The following is a 24,186-nucleotide window of genomic DNA, read 5'->3' as shown; positions in this document are numbered from 1 at the left end:
ATCATCATCCCCAAACTAAAAACAACCCAGTGTCCATCGGTATTAGAAGGAATAAATAAACCAAAGTGTATTCATACAATGGAACACCACACACAATTAAAAAGAACAAACCACACTGTTACACGTATTAATACAGGTGAATATCACAGAGATAATGATAAGCATAAGAAGATAGATACAAAGGAGTACTTGCTATATGATTCCATTTATATGAGATTAAAGAACTGGCAAAAATAACCTATGGTGATTGGAATCAGAATAGTGATTGCCTCTGTATGGGGGTATTAACTAGGAAAGGGCATAAGAGAAACTCTGGGGGATGCTGGAACTGTTCTATATCTCCATCTGGTTATGCAGTTCTATAGACATATGTAAAAATATATTGAGCTGTTACTTGTTCAGTTTACTGTGTATATGGATTACACCTTGTTGAGAAGAAAAAATAATATAGAATATATATTTGCCCTGCCAACCTCAGAGATATAAGATAGAAGAATCCCATTGTTTTCAAAAATGAGATGAATAGAAAAAAAGTACAGTCTTAATCATTTAGCTCAATACCTATTCTTTCTATTGGAATTGGTTAGATGCACTACCTGTGATTCAGGTGATCCATCAGCTTTTTAAAGACTTAGCAAAACACAAAAAGTTAGCTATATGGGAGCTTCTAGTAATTTCTGAACTTGGCAAGGACAGGCAGTAACTATAAACTTACTGGGAACACACTGGAGCCGCGAAGGAGTGCAACCTGGCTTTTGAAAGAGCTTTCCCTTTCTGTTGATGGTGAACTTGGTCTGCTTTGAAACTCCAGAGAAGAGTTCCCTGCAGCTGCATCTTTACAGTTCATGCCCTCACTTTCCTTTCTGTTTTTCTCCCTAAGAAGAGAGTAAACACCATCTGTACCACTGCACTCACCAACCCGGAAACCAAAATCTCTCCTTCCCATTAAGAAAATTACCCTCATCCTGAAGAGCCCTCGGCCATTGGTAACAAGCCACAGCCCTTCTGCCAGCTCCAGAGTTTGCCAGCCCTGAATCAATACATGAAACTGTCTGTGGTCATTGGTATCTGTGGGCAGATGTGCAGGGGAGGATGTGCAAGCCGAAGGGGAATGGAGGGAATGGAGAAACTCTGTCCAGTCGGTACAATGTGCAAACCTTACTTCTGTGCTATTACTTTTCAGACTTTGAAAATGTCGTGTGCTGGGCAGTGTGCTTCAGGTAGCTAAGCATAAACACATGTCTATAAATACTGATAACACTATCTTTATTTGTCCATTACTCAACAAAGCCAGATCACCTGAGGACTGTTTGTTCCTCTACAAAATGAGAATCCAGCACCACATGTATTAAAATGTGGGACATTTTCTTCGGAGTATAAACTTTCAAGAGCAGCATCTATGTCTTTTCCAGAACACTCTCAAATCCTTCTGTATCTTTAACACATAACATACAGTTGATTATAAGTGAAAAATTTATAGTCTAGGTTCATTGCAGCAGTTTTTCTGGGTTTGACCATATGGTCTATGCTGTGTCTGAAAGTCTATTCATTACTATGTCCAATTTCCAGAACACAGAAGTACATAAAGTATGTTCAGTAATTTATGTGAACAACCTGCAGCTATTTCTTGACTTGCTAATTCAGGTAAGTGTTTCTTACATGCTAGACACTTGATAAATGTTCAAAGAATGAATATATAGTTTTAAGACTGAATAAACGTAAACTTTTATGCAATGTGCTCACACAAGAAATGCAGTTTGCAAATATGTATATTTCCCAGAATAAAAAACTGTAGTGAACTCCCTCTTCCTCCCCACAATAAGCCCCAAAAGCATGGTATATGAAGTATTGTCAATAAAGATATTAAAATTAGAAATCAACCTTGAATAGAGCTTTCTCCAGAAAATTTTAAAAACTCAAATAATGTTTGATTTCATTTAAGAGAGACTTAGGAAAACCGGCATACAATTGTTCTATCACAGAGAGTCAAATTCAAAATCAGCTGTGAGAAAAGTTAAACTGTCTGAGGAAAATGAATTTCAGAGAAATGAGGCTTATTTTCTCCTCTTGGTTATTTCTGAAAGAACGTTTTGAAGAAATCCAGTGGAACTTTCCTGTTCTCTGAGGGGTTTCAATTGCTCCTAAAAAACATTTGCCTGAGGTTTAAACTCTATTGGGTGTGATTGTCTTTCTCACTGGTCAATTAATTTTGCAAGGAGGGAGAAGTTAGGAAAAGGCAATGCTAAATAGATATGTCTCCAGAAAAAGGCACCTCAGTTTTCTGCTTAGAGATTTTTTTTTTCTCATCTGTCTCCTTCTGTCCCCATCATTCACTTTTCTTTCTTAAACCAATATGTTACACTCAAGAAGTCATACCCAGAATAAAAACCTGCCTGGAAGGGAATCCGTGTTTGAGTAAAACTTCCCTTGTGCAATCAGCTCCCTGTCCCGACATGGTAGTTCATTTACCCAGGCGTCTATCACCCTTGGAGAGCATGTAACTTTCAGCCTGTACTTACCTGTCTGCCGAGAGCGCCGTGAGTGTGAAGACAGACACCCCAACAGAGGTAAGCTGTATAAAGGGGATCAGTTTGCAGCCAATCCTGCCAAATAGCCATCTGTCAGCCAGGTACCTGCTGGCATCCACTGGAGCACACGTTATTAGGAGGAGCAGGTCTCCCAAAGCCAGACTGGAAATGAACAGGTTTGGAACGTTTCGCATGGACTTGACTGTACAGAAGATCTTGATCAAAGTGATGTTGCCAATGAGGCCTATCAGAATGATAACCCCATAAACTGCAGGGATGACATAGAGGATCCCCGGGTGGGACCAGTCATCGTTCACGGGGAGATCCGCACTGTGACTGGAGATGTTGCAGTGCATGAAATGGTCCACCTCCAAGTTCAGAAGGAAACAGTCATTTAGAGCCATCTCTAGATTTTTTTTCCCACCTAAAAGTTCCCTTAGATGCTATTTCTTAACTATTGATTTTGCAACCGAGTGAAGATGAAGATAAGATCTATGCCGGGCTCTTTGCCTTCTTTAATAAAAATACTCTGAGTACATATATACTAACTATGGTATTCAAAACTCTCTGTCACTATTTTGACACTGGTGCTGCTCTGGCTTTCACATGACCAGTGCAATACAACTCTAAATTCAATAAGTTAACAACAACAAAACTTAGCCACAAAAAGGCTTAGAATTAAACCCACTCTGCATCAGTTCTTTCTACCTCCATTCTAGTCTGAGTCTCCCTGGCTGCAGTTTACTAAGAACTTTTGGCCTGCTATTTTCCCACAGCGTCTTTCCTGATATTTAGAATCTGGAGGTTTAAAGTGGGTAGAAAAAAACTGCACTGAGAAATCCTCAAATCCTATAGGCAGGATGCTTTGCACGTCACGGGCTTCACCAGCAAACGGCAGCTCCGCTGAGCTGAGGCTCTGAAGAGGAACCAGTGTTACTTATAGACAGAGAATGCCAGCCCCCTGCTGGACACTTCAATCACTGCCCAGTTGCCTGCTTTCTCCAGATGAGAAGCAACCAGCCGACTGCAGTTCCTACCTAGCTTAACAGATACCTTTGGCTTCTCATGTAAGCACATAGCACCTAGGGTAGGTATTTAATAAATGTTGCTAGCATTCTGCAAAGGCACTGAAAATCTTTCTGATACTATCCCCATGAATCCAGATGGGGATTTACATCCCATTTTCTCATTTTTTCTAATTCATTAGAATGACATGTCAATATTGCTATCAAATGAGGTCTGTCTTTGAATTAAACGCACACTGATGCACAGGGTGTCCATGTGTGAGTTATCCCACTCAGTCTTCCCACTGCCTCTTTGAACAGGGACTGATCCTCAGAAACACATGCACAGACTCACACCTTAAACCTTCAGCAACTGACATCTGGAAAAGCCAGAAGCACAATGCACACATGTTCTTTCCTGTAGATTTGCCAAGCCATTCCTATTCTGTTTACCAGGGAGAAATTAAATTGGGAACCAGCTGTATTCTTAACTCTCAATGATCAATAGTCTTTTCCAGAAAAATGGGTCTTTTCTCATCTGATCTAAAAATTTTATGAATCGGCATTTTGATGCAGCTATTTGCATTTTTAATTGAATGTTTGCCATGTTTTATAGCAAATATCCTCTTTATAGCCCTGTGTGGAAAATAAAGAACTATAAAAGCGTGATAGATACAATACTGAGGAATTGAGTGGGTGGTAAAAGAAGTAAGTTATCGTTGAAGGAGTGCTAGAAAAAGCTTAATTGAGGAAGTGCTATTAGAATCAGGCTTAGACCTTTAGCCAACAACTTCTAAATACATTATTAGAGTGCATCTTTATGACGTATGTGAAGCCAGCTCCTCCAGGTACATGACGTGAAGCCAGTCACTAACAGGTGAAGTCTCATTTTTCAGAACCCATAAGGAATAACAAAACTTGCACTTACCATGCCAGGGCCCACAAAGAAAGCCCCCAACTGTGTTGTTATGGACATTTCCAGTGGCAGGTTCCAACACTGAGGCTGCTGCCATGCTTTCTATGTAAATATGAAAGGCTCAGCGCCCCTCTCTGCCAGCAGGAGGGAGACTGATGCTGCATGGCTAGAGGTGGAAGAGCTTCTCGGCAGAGATCAGTAGCACCAGTAACCAGCCAATAGCCATGAGCCCAGTGGTGTTGATTAGTTGCCAGCAATATAGCTTAATGATACAGTACACAGGCTCTGCTTCAATCCTGGCTCCCTCATTTATAATTATGGCAAGTTACTTAGTGTCTTAAGCTTCAGGTTCCTCATCTGCAGGGTGAGGAGAACTTATGAAGTTAGATGAAATGATTCATGTTAAGATTGCATAGTATTTGGCACATAGTAAGTGCTCAATTAATATTAGCACTTATTATTATTATCATTATTAGATTGAGGGGGAAAGGCTTACTTTGGAAAAGCCCAATGAGTTCAGAAGAGTGATTGACCTCAGATCAATAGGCAAGCACTCATACGAGTGAATTAGCAACTCCTTTATTTACTTGAAAAAAATTTATCAAACATCTACCAGTTGCCAGGCACTGAGCAAGAGGCTGAGAAAAATAGCATGAAGATGTGTACTCTCACAGCTCTTTAGACCCCAACCCCTCTCTGGAGTGAAGCAACTACCTTTTCTCCAGAAAAGACGATATCTTTAAAGGTTAAGTGTTGACAAGGTCTTTTGAATGAAGAAAATCATATGTGCCTAGGATCAAGGCATAAAGGAAAGAGCATGACATTGAGCAGAGGGACATCTATAAATCCAGAGGGTCACCCAGATTGGAAGACAGGGGTGGAAAAAGAACAGCGTGAAATGCAGCTAGAAGCAGGTTTGGGTGAGATTGTGATGGATCTTGTATTCTTGCTAAGAAGTTTGGTCTAAAAGGCATATTTTTGGTTCACAAAGAGAACTTCTGGATGTTGTTTCCCTTTATTTCTTTAGACACCCCTGTGTGCTGAGTCAGCCTCACTACTTAAATCTAATTGGGTGGTTAGTGTTTCTTCCAATGTAAGTTAAGGGGATGCTGATAGATATTGATTTCTCATAGCTGGTGTTAGCATTATGTGTTCCACAGCACTATAGATTCTTCTAATGGTATTTTAGGAGTAAAGGTGCGTTGAGGTTTGACATCTAATATTTTCGGGGATCAAGGATGCTTTAAAAAGCTAATTCGGGCCAGGTGCGGTGGCTCACGCATGTAATCCCAGCACTTTGGGAGGCCGAGGCGGGTGGATCATGAGGTCAGGAGATCGAGACCATCCTGGCTAACACAGTGAAACCCCGTCTGTACTAAAAATACAAAAAATTAACCAAGCGTGGTGATGGGCACCTGTAGTCCCAGCTACTTGGGAGGCTGAGGCAGGAGAATGGCGTGAACCCAGGAGGCAGAGCTTGCAGTGAGCCGAGATCGTGCCACTGCACTCCAGCCTGTGCGACAGAGCAAGACTCCCTCTCAAAAAAAAAAAAAAAAAAAAAAAAGCTAATTCCATAATTTCTATGTCATTTCAACTAATTAACTATAATGACTCTTTCCATCCCTACCATTATGTGTCACCTTCCGGCAGAGCCGGAACACCAAACACCAAACGTATTCAGACATTTGCTTAGCTTTTTATTTACTGGTGAACATGAGATGCCTCTGACATGTGAACATGACATGGAACAAATGTAATATAAAATCTCTGTCCCCAGGGAGTCCAATTTCTGAATAGAATTGGAGTATGACTCAGCATCTTTTCTTATGTGTTGGGACAGGGTTGTCACTTCTGTTTCTATTTCAGTCAATAGAGTCACCTTTTTCATCTTTCCAAAAGACTGGATTTTCTGTGGGGCTCTAACATGAGGTGGGCAACAGTGACTTGATAGAATTTAGGAGAACAGGTAGATTCAATGGGACCACAGAGTGTGGAGACAAAGCCTCTTCCCACTGGCTATGAGCAAGGTCAAAAGGGAAGCTTCTGGAGGGAAAGGCTGAATTTGGCTTCAGGCATATTGAGTTTGCTAGATGAACAAGGGAATGTAAGAAAGCCAATGGAAAATGAGAGGTGAAGTCTGAAAGCATAGAAGTAAATAATTAAGAGGACTGGTTGAGAACTAGAACCCTGAATGCCAAATAGTTTAAATGTACAGTAAAAGAATCACAGAGAATCAAGTGAAGTTAGGCTTTGAGAAGAAGATTATGTGGTAAAAGTCAGTGAAGACTAAGCGTGATTTCAATATTAGATTTGTGACAGCACCACGGAGAAGCTGCTCAAAAGACTGCAGCAACTCTTGCTTGAGAAGAATCAGAGATGTCAAATTTTAGTACTGCAGCAGGAACAAAAGAGGCAGATGACTCTATCCAGATCCTGTAATGCTGGGATCGTTTCAAGTTCCCTTTTCTTTTCTCAACATTCTGTGACTTTTTATGGGGCTTAAAAACTTAGAAGAAAGATGAGAGGAGTCTTCTGGAAGGAAAAAATGAATTGGGTTTCATTTTGAGTCACATGAAACTGCAGAAGTAAATGTAGATGCCAAGAGAAAGCCTAAAGAGGAAGACGAAATTCTCAGACACATCTGAGGCTAGGAGAACACCTGGTGTGGTGGTTAAAATATATTCGCCAGTTCTCAGTACTCTTTGCTTCAAGAGATGTAGATTAATTTAACCCCCACCTCCACCCCTTAAGTGTGAGCTTTACTTAGTGACTTGCTTCTAACAAATAGAATGACACAGCAGGAATAGTGTGTAACTTCCAAGACTAGATGATAAGGGACATTGCAGCTTCCTCTTTGCACTCTCTCCTTGGATCACTTGCTCTGAAGGAAATCAGCAGCCATGTCATGAGGATACTCAAGTGACCTTATGGACAGATCCACATGGGGAGGAACTGAAACCTCCTGTCCAGAGCTATGTGAGTCAGTCATTTTGGAAATGGATCATCCATCCCCAGTCAAGCCTTCACATAACTGCAGCCCCAGCTGACTCTCTGACTGCAGCTTCATGAAAGACCCTGAGCCAGAATCACCCAGCCAAGCCACTGTTAAATTCCTGATCCACAGAGACCATGAGTTAATAAATGTTTGTTGTTTTAACCCATTGTTTTATGGTAATTTGTTATGCACCCACAGGTAACACCTGGTAAGTAGAATGGATGGAGAAGAGGAAGAAAAGAAAACCACCCCAAAGACAAAAGAAAACAGAAGAGGAAGACCAGAAAAGGCAAGTGCTATAAACCTGAGTTAAACCTGGAGTGGTCATACAGGGTGTGAGGGAAGGAAAGTATGGTCAAATCTAGAAAGGTTGTGCACACTGAAATTCATTTGTCATTCTGCAACACCAAAGTTTCTTATCTGGATCAAAATATGTATTTTTAAAATATTGTAAATGAACTGAACTTTCTTGCTCAGCCACCATATACCTGGAAATTAGACCGTTTATATTTCATTTCTGCATCTGCTCAGTGAACTTGGACAAGTAAAATAAATTCAATGAACATTATTTGTTACTGAACTGTTCTGTGCTATGGATTCTCCATTCATAAAGTACAGGAACATTTTCCCCTTGCCTATGCCCCAGGACAACTTGATGCATTAGCACCACCAGGAGCATGGAAGGCAAATGAGAGTGGTACTGTTTCTCTACCCTCAGCCATCTGTTTCTAGCCTTTTCTTCCTCTCCCCTGAGAGGGTTCGATCAGCACAGTCCTAGACTCCCTGAAATACATTCCTATATTATTTCCATCTCTAATAACAGATGTCTGAAAAGAAAACATGTTGCTGGCATGGATTCCTCTTTAAATGTTAGATTTTGAAATGTCTTTCAGTTTATGGAAAAGTCACAAAGACGGTACAAAGAGTTCCTGTATGCCCCTCACGTAGCTTCCTCTATTATTAAAATGTTACAAAATGAAGAAATTAGCATTGATATAACACTATTATCTAAACTACATATTTTATTCAAACTTCACCAGTCTTTCCATTACTGTCATTTTCTGTTCCAGGGTCCAATCCAAGATACTATATTGCATGTAATCAACATGATTCCTTAGCTCCTCCTAGCTGCGACAGTTTCTCAGACTTTCCTGTTTTTCCTGACCTTGATATTTTTGAAGAATATTGGTCAGGTATTTTGTAGAATGTCCCTTCATTGGGGTTTGCCTGGTATATTTTCATGACTTGACTAGGGATATAAATTTGGGGGAGAAAAACCATAAGAGGTAAGGCACCCTTCTCATCACTTCCTATCAGGGAGTATGTATTAGTTGCTACTGTAACAAATTACCCCAAGCTTAGTGGCTTAAAACAAGAAAAATGTATTCTCTTACAACTCTGGAGACCAGAAGTCAGAAATGAGCCTTACAGGGCTAAATTCAGAGTGTTGGCAGGGCAGGCTCCTTCTGGAGGTCCTATGGAGAATTGTTCCTTGCTTCTTCCAGCTGCTGGTGGTTCCCAGTATTCTTTGGCTTGTGGCCACATCACTCCAATCTCTGCTTCTGTTGTCAAATTGCCTTTTCTTCTGCAGTCAAATCTCCCACTGCCTCCCACTTATAAGAGCCCTTGTGGTATAATGGGCCCATCTGGATAATCAGGACAATCTTCCCATCTCTAGATCCTTAATTTAATTTTGTCTGCAATGTCCCTTTTGCCATATAAGGGAACATATTCACAGGTTCTGGGGATTAGGGGGTGGATATCTTTGGGAGCCATTATTTAGCATACTACAGGGTACACGATTATCCATATGATTTATCGGTGGTGAGGTTAACCTGAGGTTATCAGTGGTGAGGTTGATTAAGGTGGTATCTGCTAGGATTTCTCCACTGTAAAGTTGTATTTGGGGTGATAGATTTTTTTTCATTGCTAAAAGTATGATTTTACTCACAGCTAAATAAGTAATAATGTTGACATTTTGTAGCCATTTGACACCATTCTTTTTTTTTTTTTTTTTTTTTTTTTTTTTGAGACAAAGTCTCACTCTGTTGCCAGGCTGGAGTGCAGTGGCACGATCTCGGCTCACTGCAACCCAAGCGATTCCTCTGCCTCAGCCTCCCGAGTAGCTGGTACTACAGGTGTGTGCCAACAGGCCCAGCTAATTTTTTTTTTTTTTTTTTTTTTTTTTTGCATTTTAGTAGAGATGGAGTTTCACCATGTTGGCCAGGATGGTCTCGATCTCCTGACTTCGTGAGCCATCTGCCTCGGCCTCCCAAAGTGCAGGGATTACAGGCGTGAGCCACCACGCCCAGCCATTTATATTAAGTTCCTTTCCCAGCCAGCCCAAGCTCTAGGTCCCAGAAATACAAAAATTAGCAAACAATGGTTCCTGCCCTCAAGTAGCTAATTGCCTAACTAGGAAGAATGTTTTCAATGTATTGAAAGAAAGCTATTTTGTAACAGAAACCAGCATTGTTTTTAAACAATGGAACCTGCTCCAGCAGAATTTCACATACTGCAGAATTTAAGCTTCTGATTCCCCACCACAAGATATCAGAGGCTGAATTCTATTCAAACTGCTTATTAGCTGCCTGCCTTTGATGAAGTTACTTTTAAACTCTATGCTTCCATTTTTTTCATATATAAAATCTGGAACCTGCTTCAGCAAGGACCTTTGATTGTACAGTAGGTTTCTGGTCATATAAAAATGGAAACTAATGTTCTTAGAGTTTCCAAAGTATGATTGGACTTTCTGTGACTATTTTCCACTTTTATATGCTCTCTTGGATTCTCTTCTCAAAGGTGTTATCATCTCATGGGCAAACCAATAAAAATGCCATCAGGTTTCTCATGAGCAGTCTGGCTTTTATTTTTGTTTCCAGCCAGCTTTATGGGACAAAATGGCCGGGATGCACCCCCAGACTATGGGTGCTCATGCAACTAAAATGAATCCAAACCTCACATTTCACCTTTTGTCTTTGGTCGTAAAATAACACACCATGTTCTTCTCTAAGGAAGATGCTAGAAAACAGGCTTATCCGTAGATTTTTCTCCAAGCGCCACTATGGCACTTCAAACTCAGAGTGGTTCCATGGGAACTCTCACTCAATATAAAAACCCTGTTATTTTTACTGCTTGAAGGAGGCTCACCTTAAATTAACTCCAAGTCATGTCTGAAATATATATCCCATACCAAGTTCTTCAAGTCAAATACTCTTGAAATGGAACAGCTGAGAAATACACAGGGAATTTATCATTCACAAACTGCAGAATTTAAGCATCTGATTGCCCCACAACAAGGTATCCGAGGCTGAATTCTATTCAAATTGCTTATTAGCTGCCTGCCTTTGATGAAGTTACTTTTAAACTCTACTCTTCCATTTTTTCATATATATAAAAGGGATTTAAATGACACTAGGGTTCTCCTTCTTAGCTCACAGAGATTGTTGCAAGATTCAAATGAGATAACACATACGAAGGCATTTAAAAAGATGTAAGGTCCTAAACAATTTTAAGTGACTTTGTAGTAAATTATCACATTTTTTAGGTGTGATAACCATATTGTAGTTGTGTTTTTAAAAGTCCTTATCTTTTAAAGCACGGGTGAGCATGCTTTTTCTTAAGGGGCCAAATAGTAAATATTTTAGGCTTTGTGGACCACAGTGTGCCTGTCCCTGCTGGGAAAGCAGCCAATAGACAGTAGGTAAATGAATGGGTGTGACTTTGTTCTAATAAACTTTATTTGCAAAATAGGAGGTTAGCCCACAGGCCAGAGTTTGCTGATTCTGTTTCAGGAAAACTTGCTGAAATATTTATGGATAAAATGACATGATAGCCAGGATTTGCTTCAAAATCATATGGAAAGTAGAGAAGTGGGTAGGGACAAAAATGAAACAGGATTGGCCCTGAGTTGATACTTGCTGAAGACAGGTGAAAAGTATGTGGGTGCCCATGTTATGCATCTGTCTATTTTTGTATATATTTTAAATTCTGCACTATAAAAAGTTTTTACAACGTCTAATAAATGTAATTAATTATTAACATGGTTAATAATGCCAACAAAGTAACTATTCACATATCTTTGAGGTCTTGGCTGGGTGGTGCAAAGTGAAACTCTTCCCTGAAAGGGTGGTAGTATCATTCCAGCCATTCAGATATGCATTTCCTCTCCTCCACATCAATCAACCTGGAGGTCCAAGATTGAAGTGCCATGAAATGCACATGACTTAGAATGGAATTTGTTTCAGAGTAGCTAGTGGATTGTCAGTGCAGGAAAATGACTCTTCGACGCAGTAGGGAAGTAGACTGATTTGCTGTTTTTACTGACCACCCCAATCTTTCCTCATTCCTCCCCGTGGGCATATTAGTGTATTTTAAATTCTGCTAGTGTCCCACAGCAACCAAATATATATCCAGATAGATAATGAGTATTACAGGATCTGTGGAAAGGGGTGAGGACAGAGGATATAATAATAGAGCCAATATTGATTCCAGATGCTTTACGTGTGTTCTCTCATGGAATCCTTACAACCACCCTATGATATAGGACTATTTACATTCCTTTTACAGATGAGAAAATGAGGCATAGAAAGGGCAAGCACCTCGCCTGCAGTTACATGGTTAAGAAGCGTGTTTCTGTAATTGGGTGCGTAACCACTAGACCACATCATCTCTCAGGGGACAAGGGAGAGAACTAGAGGGATAGTTATGACTCAGAGTTCTCCTGGGAGGTGAAATGGACAAATAGGAAAATGAAGAAAAAAGTGCACTGAAACAAGTAGAAACTAGGGATAAAGAATTAGGGAGCTGAAAGACTGGTGGAAAAAAACCAATAAGGAGAATCCAGCAGCTGTGGTTTCTATTTCTTTCTCGGCAACGGTATCTTGTGTTTTTTGTTTTTGGGTTTTTTTTTTTTTTTCGCCTCTAGAGAAATAAACAGGATGCTCAGTTCCTGTCTCATGTCTATAGTCACATTTCTTTAATATCAAAATAATTTAAGATGTGGAATAGAGAAAAGCAGAAACTCACTAGTTCCTAATGATGACAGGTCCTCAACTGTACTTCCTCTTTCAATAAACAAGATAAAACATCCTCATGGAAACATGAAGCAAATTATGCAATGTTTTACTGAAAACACTGCTAGGCTTCAGGGTGACTCTTAGCAATAATGAAAATGCCCCCATTTCTGATCCCATGGCAAAGAGGCTTCTCACAGGATTAGAGCAAGGCTTGCTAAGTTGTATTTCATCTCCTTCTAGTGCACCCCACTCCCTGTCCTAACCCCACTTCTATATCCCTTCACCAGCAGTGAAGTGCCACCTTTCAAAATGAAGAGCTAATTTGCTATGTTGGAATTAGAGACTTCACTCTAGTCATCCAAAAGTGTTCATTCCTCTTCCTTCACTTGTAAACTCTCCTTCTGATGATTATGATTAATAATAGTCTTCCTCTTTGGGTTTTGTACCATGAGAAGAACTTACCAACACACATTTGATTTCCTTAATCAAAGGCCTAAAAGTGTGGAAATACTGCCTTTGAAAAGAGATTGACCAGACCCCCCAGGCTATAAGGCTGACTTAAGGGTGAAGCCTCATTATGTCCATAGCAAAGAAAGCCTGGTTGCCAAGCATACAAAAATTTTTTAAAAAATAGAAAGTTAATAACTCTGAGTAGGTTACAACAGGCTATGATGTTTATAGGTTTCTGAAGCATTTTGATTGAGATTCAGTGACTTCAACTGGTCGGGGAGGCAGAACTCAATAATTTTTTTTAACTTTCAATTAAATTGTTGAGGTAAAAACAATCAGAGCAGAAAAAGAATGAGGAGAGGCTTTTGTTACTAGGCAATCCAGAAGCAACATAAACTGTACTCTGGAAGAAAAATGCTTTTTACCCTTTCTCAGAAACTAGGACACACGAAAAGTAGTACCAAAGTTTTTCCTTAGATATAGCTACTGCCAAACCTAACATGGGCACATTCACCCCTTAAATTCTCACTCCAAAATCCAGGTTTATTCAAGAGTGTTTGTATGTGAGAACATGTATTTGTAGAAGGGTAGGAGTTAGAATTAGCATTTGCTGAGTATTCACTATGTGCCAGGCACTATTCTAAATGCTTTATAGCTCTTTAGATTTTGAACCCTATTAGGAAGGTACTATTATTAATCCCATTTTAAGAATGAGGAAACCAAGCTCCAGCGAGGTTTTATAATTCACCCAAGATGACACAATTAGTCAATGCTAAAGCCTGGTTTCAAACTCAGGCAATCTGGCACAGATTTCATGCTCTTAATACCATTCTAGTTCCATGCAATTTCTGAATAAGAATTTTTGCTATCTGAAATCAGATATTTTTAAAATTTCAAATAGATTCCCCCACCCCTTCATAGCTGAGAAAACTGAGATGCACAGAGGTTAAGAGACTGTCACAGTACAATATTTATTTTTATCTACATTCTTATTGCATTTTTGTCATCCCAGTTTCTACGACATGCAATATCTTTTAATCATATTATAGAGCTTCTGGAATGCAAAGACCTTGTCTTATTTATCTTCACATAAACCTAATTTTAATACTTCTCTTATAGAGTATGACAAATTGTGAAAATGTACACACATTCTGCATCACTGTATCCACACTTGCTTGAAATAAGACCTTGATGCTCTTCCCATTAAAATGTAGAGACTAACTCTCTATTTATTCTGGCCTTTATGACATTTTTTCCCCAGAAAAATGCACTAGAAATAGCCTTGTGCCAGCTATAACCTAGGTCTCAAGAATCCTAGCATGCTTAATTTTGCCACCACCTTGTGGTTGAACACAGGCTAGCCTGCTGGAGGATGAGAGGCCACATGAAGTAATAGCAAGCGATCACATCTGAGGTTATAAACACCAAACGTCCCTCAGCTATCCCAATCACTAACTATAGATGCATGAATGGGTCCAACTGAGACTCACTGAGAACCACCACCTAAGTCCAACCCAAATTTCTGACTCACAGAATTGAAAGCTAAATAAATCATTGTTGTGTCAAGCCACTAAAAAGAGAGAAAGAGACTGTTACAGTAAACTAATGTTGAGTGATGGTCGGAAACCAGGTCTCCTGATAGTTTACATATTTCTCTCCTTCCACCCCGCCGGCCATAAAGCTCTCTAAAGAGACATTTCATCAGAAGAACTATGGCATCCACAAAGATGCACCACTCAGATCTCCCATCAAGAAAAAACACGTTGTTAGCAGCAAAGAGTACAGTTTGCTAAGAACCTCCAGCTAGTCAGTGCCTTTTAAATCCACCTGAACTCTCTAGCTGAAGCCATGCTCTTCCAAGGCAGCCCTCAGCCAAAGACTCAGCATGGCAGAAGACCTACAACCTGGTCATTTCTGCCCAACGGGAGACTCTTCTAATGGGCAATCTTTGCTACAGAGCTTCCCATTGGGTTGGTGGAGACTTTGTCAGAGCTGCTTCGTTGTCCAAGGCTCTCCCTAGCCAAATCTGCTTCATAACCCTTTTATCTTTCACAGTTATCACCTGTGCAACATACCGCTTTCTTACCTAATTCTAATTCAGTTTCTGCTTTCCAGGGAGGACCTACCTGGCACAGGAATAAAATCTACTTTGCTGATACTTCTAACATTGAAGGTGGAGGAAAATAATCAAATTTCAAGGCCAATCATTTGAACAATGTCTTTGCTCCTCCCTTGTCTTTCTTGTATGTGAGGTCTCTCAGTACAGATGATCCCTGACTTAAGATGGTTCGACTTAACAACTTTTTTACTTTACGATGCTGCAAAAACAATATGCGTTCAGTAGAAACCACACCTCCAGTACCTATACAGCCATTCTCTTTTTAACTTTCAGCATGATATTCAATAAATTACATGAGCTACTCGACACTTTGTTATAAAATAGGCTTTGTGTTAGATGATTTTTCCCAGCTATAGGCTAATGAAAGTGTTCTGAGCACGTTCAAGATAGGCTAGACTAAAGCTATGATGTTCAGTAAGCTAGGAGTATTTAATGTATTTTTCACTTAATGATATTTTCAACTTAAGATGGGTTTATCAGGAAGTAACCCCATAGTAAGTTAAAGAGCATCTCTATTAAGGTAAAACATTCGTGTTTTCAATAGCCTCTTCCATGAAGGTGATTCTCAAGTTAATATTCCCCTTTAAGAAATTCCTAAGACAATCATCCAGGCGCGATGGCTCACACCTGTAATCCCAGCACTTTGAGAGGCCAAGGTGAGTGGATCACTTGAGGTCAGGAGTTGGAGACCAGCCTGGCCAACATGGTGAAACCCTGTCTCTACTAAAAATACAAAAGTTAGCGGGTGTGGTGGCACACGCCTGTAGTCCCAGCTACTTGGGAGACTGAGGCAGGAGAATCTCTTGAACCCAGGAGGCAGAGGTTGCAGTGAGCCAAGATTGTGCTACTGTACTCCAGCCTGGGCAACAAAGTGAGAACCTGTCTCAAAAAAAAAAAAAAAGAAAAGAAAAAAGAAAAGAAAAGAAAAGAAAGAAAGAAGAGAAAAGAAATTCCTAAGACAATCAAAAATGTAGTGAATGCAGCCACACAGAAGTGCTTGTTATTTTTAGGTAGGCTCTTTTACTGCCCTATAATTTTTTCTCACATGCTGCTTGAAATGCCCTAAATATTCTTCACTCTCTCCTTCAGCTGGCAAGCTTCTCATTGTTTTATGCCAAGCTGAAATGTCACTCTTCTACAAAGCCTTCCTAGAGTTCTTCAGACAAAATTGTCCCATCGCATCACAACCACCATCGTGATCTTTTTTTTCCATCATGATCATTATTATCACTATTGACATCTACTGAATATTAATGACAGGTCTTGGCTTAAAGCTACATGTGAATTATTTATTTGATCCTTACAGCAACACAATGAAGTAGGTAGTATAATTGCATCCATTTCACAGATGAGGCATCAGAGGTACAGAGAGGTTAAAAGTCACATATCTAAAACGGAATAGGGCTGGGATGCAAACTCAGCCTATCTCTTAAGTACAATGCTATGGAATATGCTGTATCTGAAAACAGCAGGCCATGTTCTTTTCTTTTCCTAGACACCTCTTCTTAAGAAGTGAATGACTTGCAGTTAAATCTGATTAATAGTCAATAGGCCCGGCAGGAGAAAGAGTAAGAAGGAAAGACTCTGGTTTTGCCTTTGTTAAAGTTAATCCTGAGATTTCCCAGAGCCCTCTTCTCTTCCATTCCCTTTATTTTCCTCTCTCCTCAGTCTCCTCTCCTTTCTAGTCCCTGATTTGCAAAGTGGAAAACTGAGATAGTTATGACTTCTAGCTTCAAGCTGTTGATGTTATTAGGGCCTGTGGACTGGGGAGTGGGGACACACTTACTCCAATTTTTCTCTGTTTAAAGCTTTGGTATAGGAACAATGTAATTACTTCCTAGTTCTTCCTCCTTGGTGGTGGCCATGTGTGCATCCCAAGAAAAGGAGGAAAAAGCACAAGTCTGAACTATGTTGAATTGGCAACAATACTGCAACTGTCAATCTTGGTTTCCCCATGTGTGACTTTCAGCAAGATTCAGAATCTCTATGTATTTATATTTCTTTATCTATAAATGATATCATCTTATTATTTATAAAGTAGAAATAATCTCTAACTCACAAGGTAGTTGTGAAAATTAAATGACACGTAGAAATATTCAATAAACAGTAGCTCTTTTTCCCAGTATCATTGTCAAATTTTGCACTTGATATTCAGCCAACTCCATTGTGGTCTTTTGAGCCACATTTGTATAAAATTAGCTTTTCCCATCTTTTATGGGAAAGTTTGTTTTTTTCTCTATAAGCACACTGTATTTATGTGACTAAATAATAAATAAATATAAAATATATAAATATATAAAATATATATAATAAAAATTATATGCCTTATATAGTTTGCATATGTGTCCCCGCCCAAATCTCATGTTGAATTTTAATTCCCAGTATTGGAGGTGGGGCCTGATGGGAGGTAATTGGATCATGGAGGTGGATTTCTCATGAATGGTTTAGCATCATTCTCTTCATGCTGTCCTTGAGATAGTGAGTGACTTCTCATGAGATCTGGCTGTTTAAAAGTGTAGTACCTAAGGCCAGGCGCAGTGGCTCATGCCTGTAATCCCAGCACTTTGGGAGGCTGAGGCGGGAGGATCACCTGAGGTCAGGAGTTCAAGACCAGCCTGACCAACATGGAGAAACCCTGTCTCTACTAAAAATACAAAATTAGCCGGGCGTGGTGACACATATCTGTAATCCCTGCTACTTGGGAGGCTGAGGCAGGAGAATCTCTTGAACCCGGGAGGCGGAGGTTGCAGTGAGTTGAGATCACGCCATTGCACTCCAGCCTGGGAAACAAGAGCAGAACTCCGTCCCCCCTAAAAAAAAAAACAAACAACAACAACAACAACAAAACAAGTGTAGCACCTCGCGCTCTCTCTCTTTCTTGCTCCTGCTTTTACCATGTGATGTGCCTGCTCCACCTTTGCCTTCTGCCATGATTGTAAGCTTGCTGAAGCCTCCCCAGAAGCTGAGCAGATGTTGGCACCATGCTTCCTGTAAATCCTGCAGAACCATGAGCCAATTAAACCTCTTTTTTTAATAAATTACTCAGCCTCGGGTATTTCTTTATGGCAATGCAAGAACGACCTAATACAAAGCCATAATCAGTACTCTTTTTTTGGACAGACAAAACAAATTATTTGATAAGGAGGTTTATGTGTATTAATAAATTTGACTGGGAGAAATACATCTTACTGGTGAATAAGATAAATTTTGTTCTAATTCATGATATGATGAGAAGGGATGTTAAAGTTCTAATAAGGCATGGAATGGTAAAATGACTATTAATTGAATGCGACTCTTGGGTAATTTATGCCTATAAGGAACTAAAGTATCACGGAAAAATGACTTTTTAAACTGCTATTACATTTATTCACACATCCACTCACTCATCCATGTACTTCTTCGTCTATTATTCATCTGTCCTCCATCCATGCATCCATCTTTCCACCCATCCATCAATTTATTATCCAGCTATTCATCTATCAATGCATCCATCCTTCCTTTCACCCACTCATTCCACTGACCTACTCAAGGTAATAACAATGCAGTGCATGTAAACATATATAAGAAATGGTCTTTACCATATGGAAACTTTCTATGTATTAGGGGAGAACAGAAGATAAGAGGAAATATGAGCTAAATCACCCCAAGAGTTGTATAATACATCTAGAGAGTTCCCAGGCATGAGAAATTATATCTTAAGGGCGAGAAAGAAAAACTTCTTGGACAGAAGAGACAAAATTTACTTTAGACATTGAAGATTCTTGAAGAATAGGTATAACACCTGTCCTAGTCTTTTCAAGCTACTATACAAAATACCTTAAACTAGCTACTATACAAAATACAGGCTGGAAAGTTCAAGATCAAGGTGTCTACAGATTTGGCATCTGGTGACAGCTCATTTTCTCATTCATAGATAACCATTTTCTCACTGTAATTTCACATAATGGAAGGGGTGAACAAGTTCTCTGGAGTCTCTTTTAAAATGACACTAATCCCATTCATGAAGGCTCTGCCCTCATGACCCTATCACCTCCCCAAAGTCCCCATTTCCTTATACCATCATGCTAGGGGTTAAAATGTCAAAATATAAATTTGGGGGTGGAGGTATAAATATTCATGCTATAGCATTCTGCTCCTGGCCCTCAAAATTCATTCCCTTCTCAAATGCAAAAATGCATTCATCCTATTCCAATAGCCCCCAGAGTATTAACTCATTATAGCATCAACTCACAAGCCTAAGTCCAAAGTCTCACCTAAATATAATCCAGGCTGGGCACAGTGGCTCATGCCTGTAATCCCAACACTTTGGGAAGCCGGGCAGGTGGATCACTTGAGGCCAGGAGTTTGAGACCAGCCTGGCCAACATGGCGAAACCCCATCTCTACTAAAAATACAAAAATTAGTCAGGCATGGTGGCACACACCTGTAACCCCAGCTACTTGGGAAACTGCGACACGAGAATTGCCCCAGGAGGCGGAGGTTGCAGTCAGCCAAGATCACACCACTTCACTCCAGCATGGACTACAGAGTGAGACTCTGTCTCAAAACAAACAAACAAAATAAAAACAAACAAACAAACAAAAACCAACATAAATATAATCTAAATCAGATATGGGTGAGATTTAAGGTAAATTCCTCTTCAACAGTGAGCCTGTGTTATCAAACAAGTTATGTGCTTCCGAAATACAATGGTGAGATAGGCACAGGGCAGACATTCCCATTCCAAAACAGGAATAGAAAAGAAGAAAGGAGTACCATGTCCTGAGCGAGTCCAAAACCTTAAGGCTTGAGAATAATCTTCTTTGCCTCAATGCTTTGCCTTCCAGATCCACCAGGGTGAAGGTCCCAACTTACGGACACACTGGAGAAAAAGGCCCATTTTCCCGACGCACTGGGCTGGAGGTCCTGCCTCTGCAGCTTTGCTGGGCATCAGTTGGACCTGCAAGACTCCAGGAAGCTCTGTTCCCACGGCTTTTTTGGGTGCAACACAGTTTGTTGCACCCACTCAAGCCACACCTAGGGCAACTGAGGAAGGTGGCAGTAGAGCACAGGGAGCAGAGCCCACAATGTAATTCAGCCAAGGTGTTTGCCACTTTATAACAAGGTTTGCCTTTTCTCCAGTTTCCAATAACGTGTTCTGTATTTCCATCTGAAACCATATCAAAATAGCCTTTACTGTTGATATTTCTACCAATATTATGTTTATAACCATTTAGGTATTTTCTAAGAAGACTGAGGCTTTCTCTACAGCTCTACTCATTTTTTTTTTTCTGATCCCTCAGCAGAATTATCTTTAAAAGTTTGATATGGTTTGGCTGTGTCCCCACCAAAATCTCATCTTGAATTGTAGCTCCCATAATCTTCATGTGTTGTGGGAGGGACCCAGTGGGAGGTCATTGAATCCTGGGGGTGGGTTTTTCCTGTGCTATTCTTGATAGTGAATATGTCTTATGAGATCTGATGGTTTTATAAAGGGCAGTTCCCCTGCACATGCTCTCTTGACTGCCACCATGTAAGACGCGGCTTTGCTCCTCCTTTGTCTTCTGGCATGATCGTGAGGCCTCCCCAGCCATGTGGAACCATGAGTCCATTAAACCTCTTTTTCTTTATAAATTACCCAGTCTAAGGTATGTCTTTATTAGCAGTGTGAGAACAGACTAATACAGAGTTCATTCATGGCAATGTTGGCTCTTTCTAGCATGCACCTCAAAACTCTTCCAGCATCTACACGTTACCCAGTTCTAAAACTGCTTCCACATTTTTAGGTATTTATTACAGCAGCAGCCCACTTCTTGGTATCAGGGCATGATGGTCTTCTTGATACCATTAATAAGTTTAGTTTCTAAAGAAGCTGACCTTGAGACACAGATTTGACTTCAAATAATTTATTTGGCAGATAATCTAGGAAGTTCTGGTAGGTGAGTAGGGTAGCACGTCAGGGAAGGGAAAGGGCCAATAAAGGCTATATTATCAAGCAAATTTCCTCTGTGAGTAACTAGAATTCAATCACACTGGGAAACTCTGGGAGTCAGTATAAAATAAACAAATGTCTGAGAATTATTCTACTGGAGAGGGAAGGGAGTGGGGGTGTTTATATGTCAACTTTCATTGGACATTGGTTGAGAACTGTTCCTAGGAAGATGGTAATTTCCTGGCACTTTTGGCCTTCCATGTGCATGGATAGAGAGGGCTTCAGTGGCCACAGAAAATCCTCAGGAAAAGAGATGACATATTGGCAGTTAGAAATTAAGCCTGCCCACTAAAATGGTAAGGCCCAAGTAGATATGGGGAGATAGACAGTAGATGCTTTACCAGTAGAGTCTAGAAGAACAGCACTTATAAAAATGACTGGGGGCAGTGCTTTTGTACAAGGGCGAATCAGAATATCTCGGAGGTATGTATAGTTTTAAAAACCATATTTAATATAACATAATTTTATGTTTATAAAATAGCAATACTTTGGGTTTTTATCTCTTTGGTTGGTAAATATAGAGAGAAGATAGTAAGTTTCAAAAGAGTTCAGCATAAAATTATAACATTGAGACAGATGAGTTTCAGAAGGGTCATTTGAAATGCTCATGTTTGCTTTTGGCTTAAAATGTTTGCGAGGGGCTAAGCCAGATCCCTCATTACAATGTGCTACCTAATGAGGAAAGTATTTGCTAAAGAGGTTCTTCCATTTTGTTTTTCTACCCAAGGGTAAATAAGGTACAGATATATAAACTGAAAAGAAAAGCTGAAATTGGGATTGCCATTTCATCCACATCTTTAGAGCCATGTTGAAAATGTATTTCAGCGCAGAGAAAAAAATGGCCTTTGGCAGAAGCATTTAGCAGAAGATTCAGTTTCTAAATACATTCTCAGCAAAATTAAATGGATTTGCCATGTTCTAATTCAACTTAGTTATGCCCCATGAAATTGAGAAGTTTTCTATAAATTGCATTTTAGAAACCCATTAAAAATCCTCAAGTAATAATTTCTAAAAAAGAAAAATCAAAAGAACTACAGAGAAAGTCACTAAAATCAGCTATTCATCATTAATTTTTCTTTCTTAATGGGAGTGACTGACTCACTCATTTGCTGAATTCCATTTTGGGCAACAATATTTTTAATGTTAATCTAAGAGTTCATTCTTCAAACAAAATATACTGATAAGGTCTTAGTTCAGGTGTAAACTTTGATATAAATATCTCTAGTCAATTTATATCTATAAAGTGATTTGCATAAGCATCCTTGGCTGAAGGAAGAGGAAGTTTGCTTAGCACCTGGGGAAGAGTCAAAAATAGTCTTTTGAATATAGGCCTCTGGCTTGATGTCTGAGCTTTCTGGAGAGATGGGCTAATAAGAAAATCTGAGGAACCCATGGCCAGGTGCGGTGGCTCATGCCTATAATCCCAGCACTTTGGGAGGCTGAGGCACGAGGATCACCTGAGGTCAGGAGTGCAAGACCAGCCTGGCCAACATGGTGAAACACTGTCTCTACTAAAAATACAAAAATTAGCCAGGCGTGGTGGCAGGTGCCTGTAATCCCAGCTACTCAGGAGGCTGAGGTAGAAGAACCACTTAAACTCGAGGGGCAGAGGCTGCAGTGAGCCAAGATTGCACCACTACACTTCAGCCTGGGCAACAGAGCAACAGAGCGAGACTCTGTCTCCAAAAAAAAAAAAAAAAAAAGAAAGAAAGAAAGAAAATCTGAGGAACCCATTTTAGTGAGAAATCCTGAATGCACAGGTCACAAGCAGCATTGTACTATAGCTCTGCTGAGGACAGTGAATGAAGGCTGCAGGGAATATAATGTAACTTTGGTGACTAGAGGGTTCACAGTTCTGGAGTACCTGGGACATCAGCACTCTCCCAGAGGTGCTAGCTGTGGTGATCAGCAGCGCCAAGTAGCAGATACCCTTGAGGGATTCAAGGAGAAGACAATGGGAAGGCTTCTTACAAGCTGCCAGAAAGGGATTTTGTAAAACCGGCGAAATCTGGACTTTTGTTTTTAATATGACCACTTTAGTACTCACAGGCTGGAGAAACTTGGGTTGACAATGAATGAAAACAGTACCAAGTTTAACATGCGTCAAGGTTTCATAAGCCTTTGCAGATCATAATTATAGAAATCTATGAATGGCTCTTAATAATTACATAGACAGAAAATAGTAAATCCAGATAATATAAATGCAATCAGTTGTGCAGTGTTGTCATCTTGATAAATTACATTTTCCAAAGAGATATTTTAAATATATCTATTATTTGTTCCACTAAGTGCCTGCTTGGTTAATGGGGAAACTGTGGATTTGGGGGTTAGGAGCCCCGAATTCTGGTGTCCTAATTGGGCCAATCGCTTTTTGACCTTAGGCAAATTTTGGGTGCAGGATTAATTGATTGCCTCCAATTCATCACCCCACCTCCAATCAATACCCTTGGCAGGACCTCACTGTGGGCAGAGACTATTTCCCTGCCCCTTAACTTTGGTTTTGGCCATGTGATATACCTTGGCCAATGACATATGAGCAGAAATTACTTCAGTTCCAAGTGTAGGCTTTAAAAGGCCTTGTACATGTCCACTTGCCCTCTTGTGCCTTCACCATCACCTCAACACCACCATCTAGTTGGCCCACTGGTTCGAGGAAGATGAGAGTCATGGGCAACAAACCACAGAACTGCCCAAGCCACAAAAGCCTAGATCAGCCAAAACTCAGCTAGTTCAGAGACGCATTAGCTAAATACATGCTTATTATAAGCTGCTAAAATTGTCTGGTTGGTTGTTACACAGCAATAGCTAACTGATACATCTTGTTATCTTTCTGGACCTCAGTTTCTTTATCTGTAAACTGAACAAGTTTACCATTTAACTTCAGATCTCTTCTAGCTTTAATCTTTTTTCTAAAACAAATTCCTCCTTATGTATATGTAGCTGAATTTTTAAAAAATCTTTTCTTATAAACCTAAAGCACACTGATTTCAGAAGTATTGTTCCTCTAGCTAGATACATCAGGTCTGTATTTAATGACACCCACTAGGTAGCAGAAAGTCTTTTAACCAAAGCTGAAGAGCCATATAAAATATGCAGAGGTTGAGCCTCAGATAAACAGTATACATTTAATTTCTAGCTTTCAAAGTAAAAGCTTCAGAGTGAGCCCCTTAGGTTTTTATTGAATG

General features: G+C 39.9%; 1 protein-coding gene across 1 annotated transcript in view, besides 2 other annotated features; it reads right to left on the bottom strand.

Moving 5' to 3' along the window:
* The window catches only part of GRPR (gastrin releasing peptide receptor), a 29,954-nt gene extending 26,633 nt beyond the window's left edge, over positions 1–3,321 (bottom strand). The window contains exon 1 of the mRNA NM_005314.3: positions 2,520–3,321. Within this exon, the coding sequence (NP_005305.1) occupies positions 2,520–2,932 (413 nt within the window). The 5' untranslated portion in view covers positions 2,933–3,321. The remainder of the gene's footprint in view (positions 1–2,519) is intronic.
* Positions 3,326–3,620: an enhancer, noted in NCBI's record as "tiled region #9466; K562 Activating DNase unmatched - State 12:CtcfO". NCBI's record gives its function as "activates a minimal TATA promoter and a strong SV40 promoter by Sharpr-MPRA in K562 cells {active_cell/tissue: K562}" and the evidence as "EXISTENCE:reporter gene assay evidence [ECO:0000049][PMID:27701403]".
* Positions 6,938–7,077: an enhancer, noted in NCBI's record as "active region_29452". NCBI's record gives its function as "activates an Ori minimal core promoter by ATAC-STARR-seq in GM12878 lymphoblastoid cells {active_cell/tissue: GM12878}" and the evidence as "EXISTENCE:reporter gene assay evidence [ECO:0000049][PMID:35858748]".

Source organism: Homo sapiens, chromosome X, assembly GCF_000001405.40.
Source record: "Homo sapiens chromosome X, GRCh38.p14 Primary Assembly".
Classification (NCBI taxonomy): Eukaryota; Metazoa; Chordata; class Mammalia; order Primates; family Hominidae; genus Homo; species Homo sapiens.
The sequence above is the reverse complement of the archived record's forward strand: the minus strand, read 5'-3'. Positions and strand labels throughout refer to the sequence as shown.